The sequence below is a fragment of the Homo sapiens genome, chromosome 22, assembly GCF_000001405.40.
Source record: "Homo sapiens chromosome 22, GRCh38.p14 Primary Assembly".
NCBI lineage: Eukaryota > Metazoa > Chordata > Mammalia > Primates > Hominidae > Homo > Homo sapiens.
In genome coordinates this window covers 37031059-37041602 of record NC_000022.11, presented here as the reverse complement: position 1 = coordinate 37041602, position 10544 = coordinate 37031059, and the positions used below count along the sequence as shown (strand labels likewise).

Sequence of the window (10544 nt, the reverse complement as noted above, 5' to 3'; positions counted from 1 at the left end):
ATTTTGTGCAGGTGGTGTCTGCCAGGTCTCTGAGCTGTACAGTTACTCCTTTCCCCCATCGATTTTTCTTTTTTTTTTTTTTTTGAGATGGAGGCTGGAGTGCAGTGGTGCGATCTCGGCTCATCACAACCTCTGCCTCCCGGGTTCAAGCGATTCTCCTGCCTCAGCCTCCTGAGTAGCTGGGACTACAGGCACGCGCCACCATGCCCTGCTAGTTTTTGTATTTTTAGTAGAGTTGGGCTTTCACCATGTTGGCCAGGCTGGTCTCAAACTTCTGACCTTGTGTTCCGCTCCGCCTCGGCCTCCCAAAGCACTGAGATTACAAGCATGAGCCACCATGCCCAGCCTGTGTCCTTTTTTAAAAACCGGTTCTTAAACACTGAATCTTTTTAAACATTGTAGTAAAATACACATAAAATGTACCATTTTAACCATTTTTAAGTGTCCAGTTTAGTGACATTACATGCATTCGCATTGTTGTGATTCTATCACCAGCTTCCATCCACAGAACTCTTTTCATCTTGCAAAACTGAAACTCTCTACTCATTAAACAGCAGGTCTCTATTCTCCTCTCCCAACTGGCTCCTGTATCCTTCTGACTCATCCCCATTATCATTTGAGCACTTCCTTCCTTTCTGGCCCAGCAAAACAGTCTGGGCTCGTATTATACTTTTCCTGCCCCGGCAGCTCCAGTTCCTTTTGATGGATAATGGTATTTAAAACCAACACCAGGCTGGGTGTGGTGGCTCACGCCTATAATCCCAGCACTTTGGGAGGCCGAGGCAGGTGGATCACTTGAGGTCAGGAGTTTGACACCAATATGGTGAAACCCTGTCTTTACTAAAAATACAAAAATTAGCCAGGCATGGTGTCAGGCACCTGTAATCCCAGCTACTCTGGAGACTGAGGCAGGAGAATCGCTTGAACCTGAGAATTGGAGGTTGCAGTGAGCCGAGATCGTGCCATTGCACTTCAGCTTGGGCGACAGAGCAGGACTCCGTCTCAAAAAAAGAAAAGATAAAACCAACACCTGAGCATTTGGTGGCCTCATTGCACTAGGATGTCACTGCTTTCAGGAAATCTCAAGGAACAGAGCTAGAGCTGGGAAACACGTGCACACACACACACACACACACACACACACACACACACTTGTTTCTGCACCTGTCTATAGTAGAAATCCTGGGTTCACGCTGATATCTCCAACTTCAGTCCAGCACCACAGGCTTCATTTAAGTCTTCTCCCTTTCCATATTTGTTTGTCTTTTCTCCAATAGGGAAACAGTTTGTTCCCAGTATCTTTAATACATTTCCTTACTTATTTAGCCAGTCCTAGTTTTATAATTGGTAACCTATAACATTGTGAAAAACAAACCTATTAACAAGAGTTCAATATTTGTTATCGGAAGTTTTTTTGTTTATTTTGTATTTTGCCTGAGTATGTATAGTCCAAACAGCCAAAATATCGCATTCAAGAGTTACTTGGAGCTGGGTGTGGTGGCACGCACCTGTAGTTCCAGCTACTTGGGAGGCTGAGGCAAGAGGATTGCTTGAGCCCAGGGATTCGAGGCTGCAGTGAGCCATGATCACACCACTGCACTCCAGCCTGCATGACACAACGAGACCCTGTCTCTTAAACAAAAAAGAAGTCCATCTTTGCCCCAGTGGTTTGAGATGCCTTTATCATACACTAAGTTTCCTGGAGTATTTGAGCCTATTTCTGGACTCACTATTCTAGTCCATTGGTCTGTCTATTCATGCACAAGCCACACACTGTTTTAATTACAGAGAGTCTTTAGAGTATTCTTGTAGGGTCAGACCCTTTGTAGCTTTTTCTCTTCAAAGTTTTCCTGCTATTCTTGCATGCTTGATTTTCCATGTGAACTTGGGTCAGCATTTTTAGCCCAATAAAGAAGCATATTGATATTTTTATTGTGGATGGGTCAAATGTTTAAATTATCTTAGGGAGAACTGACATTTTTATGATGTTGAGTTGTCCTATTCAAGGACGAGGGATGTCTTCCATTTGTTCAAACCTACTTTTGAGTCTTTTAGGAGGTTATTTTAAAGCTATCCTAAATAGGCTTTGCGCATTTCTTGTTAAGTTGCTTTTTCTGTCCTTTTGAATTTTTTTTGTTGCTATTGTAACTGAGGTTTTTCTCTACCATTAGAGTCTCTCTCTCTTTCTCTTTCTATTTTATAAAAAAGTAGAGACAGAGTCCCCCTCGCCCGTTGCCCAGGTTGGTCTTGAACTCATGGGCTCAAGCGATCCTCTCATGTTCCACCCACCTCGGCCTTCCAAAGTGTTGGAATTAATTACAGGTGTGAACCTCTGCACTTGGGCTACCATTATATTCTCTAACTGGCTATTGTTTGAGTATATGAAATCTACTGATTTCTGTGTGTTAGTTGTTTTTTTTTTTTTTTGAGATGGAGTCTGACTGTCACCCAGGCTGGAGTGCAGTGGCATGATCTTGGCTCACTGCAACCTCCACTTCCTGGGTTCAAGAGAGTCCTGTGCCTCAGCCTCCTGAGTAGCTGGGACTACAGGTGCATGCCACCACACCTGACTAATTTTTGTATTTTTGGTAGAGACGGGGTTTCGCCATGTTGGCCAGGCTGGTCTTGAACTCCTGACCTCAAGTGATCCGCCCACCTTGGCCTTGCAAAGTGCTGGGATTACAGGCCTGAGCCAGTGTGCCCAGCCTGATTTCCATATGTTAATTGTATACCTCATTGATTTTTTTTTTATTGTTTGAGTAACTTTTATTATTAATTCTCTGGGGTTTTTCAGGTGTACTATCATATTATCTGAAAACAAAATGCTATGGACAAAAAAGAGAGAAGCAATATGTACAATATATACACATATATATGTGCTTTCTTTTAGCTGCACAAGTCATCTCTGATGATACACAAGAAACTGACATAGTGTTTGCCTGGGAGAAAGGAATTGACTCACTGGGGCTGCTCTGGGAGGGAGGCTCCTGTGAATCCTTTGGTACCTTTTCAGATTTATTCAGAGTACAGGTGTTGTCTCCTCAAACAATAATATATATTTTGAGACAGTGTCTAGCTCTGACGCCCAGGCTGCAGTGCAGTGGTGTGATCTCAGCTCACTGCAACCTCCGCCTCCTGGGTTCAAGCGATTCTCCTGCCTCAGCCTCCCAAGTAGCTGGGATTACAGGTGTGCGCCACCACGCCCGGCTAATTTTTGTATTTTTAGTAGAGGGGGGTTTCACTGTGTTGGCCAGGCTGGTCTTGAACTCCTGACCTCATGATCCACCTGCCTCGGCCTCCAAAAGTGCTGGGATTACAAGCGTGAGCCATCGCATCTGGCCAATAATTTATTTTTTTAAAACCAGTTATTTAGAAATCATGAATTCACAGCTTTCTCTAATTGCCTATTCTGCTATTTTATTTTTGGGTCTTTAATAAATATTTCTTATGGCCAATTTTTTTTTAAAGGCAGCAGAATCGGTTGGAACATAAATGATTGAGTGTGATGATAAATCAGAGCCCAGTTCCTGCAACTCCCATTTGGACTCTGCAGTCCTCGAACGGCAAGCGGGTGACTTAGTGTAATGATACTCAGCCTCACTTTCTATTGCAATCGTTTCCCCAACGCTGAATCTGCCAGCCAGCCTAACGTATTCGCACCTCCTGTGCAATGGCAAGGCCAGGACAGCTGCAGCCTCTGGGGCTTGCCCCCTCCTCCCTTGGCTCCTGGCGGCTTCCCACCCCACCCCTGCTCCCAGGCTCTGTCTCCCGCTCTCCTTCCTGTTTCCACCCTCCAGGGCTGCACTGGAAGGACCTCAGTTCCAAAACCTCTTTCTATTCGCCTCAGGTTGACCATCCTGCCCTATTTCCGACCCCAGGGGCCCAAGCCCCATGCCAAGCGCCTCAGCTGACCACTGGCCGAACACTGGCGAAGCCTCCATGCAGGGTCTTGCAGTCCTCCCTGCACAGTCACACGCGTCCCCTCCCCGCCTGGTTTCTCTTTTCCCCGCTGCCTGCTTCAGCCTGGCTCTTGGCATGGCCCACACAATAGATAAGGAGGAAGAGGATAGCTTGGGAGGGTTTGGGAGGCTGATGTGCCAATCCAGGTGGGAGCTGGCAAGGCCAGAGCAGACACTTCAATGGGGCATGCCAAGGGTCATTGAGTCAAGATGGCAGAGGCTAGACATGAGTACAGGGCTGAGGAAGGGCAACCAGGCAGCCAGAAATGTCTCAGAGCCAGGGGCGTGGTGAACAAGCAGGTAACATGAGGGTGGGCACACCGAAGGACCCATACCACCCTCGGCGGCTCTGCTCTGCTCTTACAGATGCTCCTCCTGGCCCGGAGCTCCCAGCCAGCCCACAGCGGCTCTTGTCTCTAGTGGTTTCTGCCTGTCCCTGCCCATCATGCATCTCTCCTACCTAGAATGATGCACAGCTCCTTATTCCCACTTCCGGAGCTGCATGTGTAGCTCCAGTCATTGGAAAAGCAAGCACAGCCTGGTACTGAATTTCTCCCCTAATTCGCTTTCTGCAGGTTACAGGAGGGGCATTTACCTGCCACTTTGCAGAAGGTGAGAAAGGCACCTCAAGAAAAGGAATAAGCTGAAGTGAATAAAATTCATATTCACATGCTTTCTTGTTTTTATTTTCTTTTTATTTGTTTGTTTTTAGAGACAGGATCTTGCTGTGTTGCCCAGGCTAGAGTGCAGGGATGCAGTCATGGCTCACTGCAGCCTTGAACTTCTCCTGGGCTCAAGTGATCCTCCTGCTTCAGCCTCCTGAGTAGTTTGGACGACAGGTGTGCAACCACCATGCCCAGCTAATCTATGTTTTTGAAGAGACAGGGTCTTCACTTGTTGCCCAGGCTGATCTCAAATTCCTGGCCTCAAGCAATCCTCCTGCCCGGGACTCCCAAAGTGCTGTGATTACAAGCATGAGCCACCGTGCCTGTCCTTGCTTTTACTTTGAAGTCAATCAGGCAGCATAAAAAAAAAAAAAGTTCTGGAGAGGTCAGGCGCGGTGGCTCACACCTGTAATCCCAGCACTTTGGGAGGCTGAGGCAGGTGGATCACAAGGTCAAGAGATCGAGACCATCCTGGCCCACATGGTGAAACCCCGTCTCTACTGAAAATTCAAAAATTAGCTGGGCGTAGTGGCAGGTGCCTGTGGTCCCAGCTACTCGGCAGGCTGAGGCAGGAGAATCACTTGAACCCGGGAGGTGGAGGTTGCAGTGAGCTGAGATTGTGCCACCGCACTCCAGTCTGGTGATAGAGCTAGACTCCGTCTCAAAAAAAAAAAAAAAAAAGTCCCGGAGAAACATATCAAAGAGCACACAGCTAGCCAGACAAGTAAATTAGCCTTTGGTTGCCCTGTTCCTCACTTGTGTACAAAGGTGTGAACGTGCATGTGTTTGTGTGCGTGTGCATACACACCTATGTGTTTTAAGGGGTGTATGACACCTCCCCACCCAGAGAGAAGCCTGCTCCCTCTTCTGTGATCCCCTCCCCAATTCTGTCTTGTAGTGGACAAAAGCCTTGTGGTCATTCTGTCTAGGATTCAGAGCCCAGCCCCAGATCTAACCTCTCCTGTCATCTTGGGCAAGTCACTTGACTTTTTTTTTTTTTTTTTTTTTTTGAGGCAAAGTTGCCCAGGCTGGAGTGCAGTGGCGCGATCCCAGCTCACTGCAACCTCCGCCTCCTGGGTTCAAGTGATTCTCCTACCTCAGCCTCCCAAATAGCTGGGATTACAGGCACCCACCACCACGTCCAGCTAATGTTTTGTATTTTTAGTAGAGACGGGGTTTGACTATGTTGGCCAGGCTGTCACGAACTCCTGACCTCAATCACCTGACTTATGGAGGATAATAACACCTGTTTCTCGGAGTGGTTAGAGTAAATGGAGGCAAAGCACTTAGCATCCTCTCTGGCACATGGAAACAGTAAACAGGAGGGGTTATTAAGGTGCCTCTCAGCCCTGAGAGTGTACTTGTGTAATATTAAACATTCATTGGCCCCTGCAGAGACAAAGGGAAAGCTTCCCTTTCTCCTCGTGAAGGCTCGCTGAAAATCAACAGACAAAAGGAAGATTAATTGGAGAAAAGACAAAATTTATTTCAACGTGCAGAGCATGAGGGAATCACAGAAGTTACCCAATAACCCAGTGGGGTACAGGTGCATGCGCCCTTCTTCACGGGGGAAGGAGAGATGGGGGACACGTGGCAATTTGAAGGACAGTCAATGGTTTTTAGGGGGGAAATGAATGAGTCCAGCGTCCAGATGATAATTAATAATTTCTTTGGACATTGAAAGGGAAAGAGAGCAGATAATGGTTTGGGATGAAGTTTATCTGGGCTGTAGGTGTGGTGTTTAATGTTCAGTCTCATATCCTCTAGGATATGAGTTTTAACCTCTAGCTAATGATATTCCAGGGAAGGTAATTGTGTTCCCCTTTGGCAGGTCCCGTTTCTAGGCAGATAAAGAAACTTCAGAGAACAGCGTCATCCTGCACTTTGAGAGAGACAGAGGATTCAGAGAAGGAGGCAGGGAGGTCAGATAGACCTTGAGGCTGCTTCATGTCAGAGCGCCATATTTTAGGGCAATGCTTTCTGAGCCCCTAACCCCCCATCCATGTCAGTTGCTGTGCTGGTACCAGGACAAGAAACATGAATAAGATACGTTACCCCTCAAGGTTTTACAGCCCAGCCAAGGGAGGCAGGCAGGGCAGGTGCAGGACAGGAGAGCAGTAACAGTAACAATACAACATGGTGGTCGGGCACAGTGGCTCAGGCCTGTAATCCCAGCACTTTGAGAGGCCAAGGCAGGCAGAACACTTGAGGTCAGGAGTTTGAGACCAGCCTGACCAACATGGTGAAACCCCGTCTCTACTAAAAATACAAAAATCAGCCAGGTGTGGTGGTGGGCACCTGTAATCCCAGCTACTCCAGAGGCTGAGGCACAAGAATCGCTTGAAACTGGGAGGTGGAGGTTGCAGTGAGCTGAGATCTTGCCATTGCACTTCAGCCTGGGTGACAGAGCGAGACTCCATCTTAAAACAAACAACAAACAAACAAACAAGCCCGTGGATTTGGTGCTTATGAGGTCAGCTTCTGCTCTCAGTGCTATGTATGAACCAAATCACTTCATCCTCACAGCAATCCTATAAAGTGGATTATTGCCACGTCTCAGATGAGGAAATCCAGGCCCCTCTGCCCACACTCACGGCCAGGGAGTTGGAGGTCAGGGTGCTCCGGAGGCTGCCCTTTGAACCGTCCCCTGCTGCAGCTCTCCCTGGAGCAAGAGGGCACAGTCCAGGGAATTCATAAAAGGGACTATGCGTGGGTGTGGAGGTGCCTCTCAGACCCAGAACCAGCCCCCCAACCCATGGCGGTTCTCTGTGTTTCCACTTCTCAGATACTCCTCGCCACGCTGTTGCCAGGATCCATGTCTGTCCCTCCCCATGGGGCGAATGCCCCCTCTCAGGGCTGGTCTTTATCCTCCATGCCCCCAGATCCTGCCACAGGGCCTGTCCCTAGGAAGTACCCTGGAATGAATGGAGGAGACAGGCTGAGTGCTGGGTGCGGGCTGAGTGGGGGACTTGGACAAAGGCAATGGGAGTAGAGGTGGAGGTCTGACCGGCTGTAGGTAAGTGGGACAGAGTCTCAGATCACTTGCTGCCAGGTGTGGGCCTGGGTGACCCACAAGTGGTGACCGTGCACACTGAGACAGGGGACACAGGTGGAGGAGCAGGCTTGGGGCTGGGAGGCCATGACTCAGGGATCTGAGTTCAGGAGGAATCGAGTTGCGGGAGGCCCCGATTCCAGAGTCACTGGCTCAGCACAGTCGTTGAAACCATCCGAATGGCAGCATTATCTAGAGAGCGGGCCCGCCTCGAAGCAGGCCGAGGGAGACTCCAGAGAACACAGACGGGAAACCAGAAGGGCAGTCAGCTAGGATTCAGTATCGAGGACCTGAAGACCTCAACATCCTGACAGTTGAGGGGCAAGGAGCCCCTGCAGGTATCGCTGTGCAATCAAGGGATCAAACAAAGCCCCCAGAAGTTCAGGCAAGATCAGCCTACCAAGTTCCACCCCTAGTAGGTTAATAGGCAAAAAATTTAGGTGCTTAAAATAACACTTTCCGTTAACCTGAATATTTCAACATTTCATCTTCCCCCAAGTGATTCATCCTCCATGAGTTAAGGATAATAAAGCTCCATTGTGCTTATAGAGCTGAGGTTATTCCAGTAGGTGTGACACCTGACTTCATTTTGAGCCTTACCTGATGTGACATCACACCCACACTGGGCATGGCAGAACTGAGTTTGCTCCCATTTTTCAGATGAGAAGACTGAGGCCCCAACAGGAAGGCTCTGGAACGCAGACCTTCTGGGGCCTTGTGCAAAGCTGATTCCACAGCACCAGGACCAGATCGCTGCATGGATCCATATTCAGCCCACTGTGTGGATGGGGGCTTTGATCTCTGGAGGCAATGACCCAGGAAGTGGAAAACATTCCAGGGCAGCTGGTTAGGCAAGGTTGGGAAACGCATTTCCAACTGTTCCTGACACAGAGGGGGCGCCGAGCAAATATTTGCCAAGTGGATAAAAATTTCATCATTCTTGTTGCTCAGTGTTGCAAGTTCCTGCCTCGAACACACAGGTTGGGTAGGGCGGGCCCTGGCAGAGGCCAGGATCCTGCAGTCAGTGGTTAATTATTCTAAGAGTTCAGGCTTGCAGGAGGCGGGACGGAGCTGGGCGGAGGGTGCGTGTCTAGTTCATTCCTAACAAACTCCTGCAAAGTTAAACTGAAGCTCTGTAGTCCTAGAAAGGTGCGGCTAGATCGCCCACCTCTAGGCAGGTCACCTCCGAGCCTGTCCAGACCCAAGGAGGACCTTCCCAGGAGAAAAAAGCCCGGGCTGGAATCAGCCTTGGTTTCCTTGCTGCAGGTTGGACTAGGGTAGGGGAAGGGCGCCTAACCCAAACCCATTGGTTAAATTCCACTGCTCAAGGTTTCCCTGTGGAGCTGAGAAACACGTGGCCATCTTCCCTGAGCTTCTCATGCGTTTCTGTTCTCACCTTGATCCTGGAATCTGGAAAACCATGGCAGGCAAGATCCGCTGGAGAAACTCCTCCCCTGGAGAATTCTAACTCCAGTTAGGTTCCTCTAGCAAACTAGCTGTGTGCCCTGAGGCAAATCACTGAACCTCTCTGAGCTTGTTTTCCCACCTGTAAAATTAGTCTGTTGTGAAATAGATCATTTCACAGCACCCCCTTCTCTCTGGAAATGTACTCTAAAAGACTAGTTTCTCCTCCCTAGTTTGGAAGCTTTGAGAGGGCTGGGACACAATTCTATTTGTCACTCTCTCTCCTCCAATGCCGGAAGTGCAGAAGGCACTTAACATGCTGAATAAGTAAAACTCCTTTAAAACTAATGGGAAGAAACCCTTGGTGTTTACTCTGCACCAAGCAAAACAGTTTCTGTGGATTATCTCATGTAATCCTCATACTGCTCAGGAAGGTACTTCTTTTTTTGAGATACGATCTTGCTCTGTTTCCCAGGCTGGAGTGCGGTGGTGTCATCACAGCTCACTGCAGCCTTGACCTCCCAGGCTCAAGCGATCTTTGCACTTCAGCCTCCCAAGTAGCTGTGACTACAGGCACATGCCACTCTGCCCGGCTCATCTTTTTTCTTATTTTTGCCTACAGATGAGGTCTCACTATGTTGTCCAGGCTGGTCTTGAACTCCTGAGTTCAAGTGATCCTCCCACCTATGCCTCCCAAAGTGTTGAGGTTACAGGCGTGAGCCACCGTGCTGGCCAGGAAGGTACTATTTTGCCCGTTTTACAGGTGAAGAAACGGGTCTGGGCGCTGTGGCTCACGCCTGTAATCCCAACACTTTGGGAGGCCGAGGAAGGTGGATCACGAGGGCAGGAGTTTGAGACCAGCCTGGCCAACATGGTGAAACCCTGTCTCTACTAAAAATACAAAAATTAGCCGGGCGTGATGGTGAGTGCCTGTAATCCCAGCTACTCAGGAGGCTGAGGTAGGAGAATCGCTTGAACCCGCGAGGCAGAGGTTTCAGGGAGCCGAGATCGTGCCATTGCACTCCAGCCCGCGCAACAGAGCAAGACTCTTATCTCGGGGTGGGGGGGAAAAAAGAAACGGAAGCCTGCAGAGGCTGGGCAGCATGTTCGAGGTCAGGCTGCCTTGTGTGGAGTGGTTGGGACTGGAAGCTGGATCAGAACCTCACATGTTTGCAGACAAACTTGTCTCCTCAAAGTGGCAGAGCCATTCCAGGAAGGAAAACTAAAGCTTGTCTGAGACCGGCCAGAAAGGGGGGAGTGTCTAAACTGCCTCACTTCCACTTCTGGGAGAAGGTGCTTATGATGGGGAGTCGGGGAGCCCCTCCATGTTGGGGTTCCCTGTCTACACTGTTCCTGACTGCAGTGGTCAATTGTGTTATTTGCCCCTAGGGCAGTGGTTCTTGACTGGGGGTGATTTTTGCCCCCCAGGGGACATCCGGCCACATCTGGAGACTTTCAGTTGTC

The 10544-nt window shown here is 49.0% G+C and overlaps 1 long non-coding RNA gene across 1 annotated transcript, besides 2 other annotated features; it reads right to left on the bottom strand.

Annotated features, from left to right (window-relative positions):
- Window positions 1-6089: 6089 nt before the first annotated feature.
- Window positions 6090-9554, bottom strand: LOC112268295 (uncharacterized). The gene is made up of 2 exons (XR_002958751.1): window positions 8277-9554; window positions 6090-7044 (listed from the first exon to the last, which is right to left on the bottom strand). It is a non-coding gene; the product is annotated as an uncharacterized LOC112268295 (long non-coding RNA).
- Window positions 7524-8189: an enhancer, noted in NCBI's record as "H3K27ac-H3K4me1 hESC enhancer chr22:37429455-37430120 (GRCh37/hg19 assembly coordinates)". NCBI's record gives its function as "activates a minimal SCP1, AML or CMV promoter by ChIP-STARR-seq in naive H9 embryonic stem cells {active_cell/tissue: H9 hESC(naive)}" and the evidence as "EXISTENCE:reporter gene assay evidence [ECO:0000049][PMID:30033119]".
- Window positions 8282-8799: an enhancer, noted in NCBI's record as "H3K27ac-H3K4me1 hESC enhancer chr22:37428845-37429362 (GRCh37/hg19 assembly coordinates)". NCBI's record gives its function as "activates a minimal SCP1, AML or CMV promoter by ChIP-STARR-seq in naive H9 embryonic stem cells {active_cell/tissue: H9 hESC(naive)}" and the evidence as "EXISTENCE:reporter gene assay evidence [ECO:0000049][PMID:30033119]".
- Window positions 9555-10544: the final 990 nt, after the last annotated feature.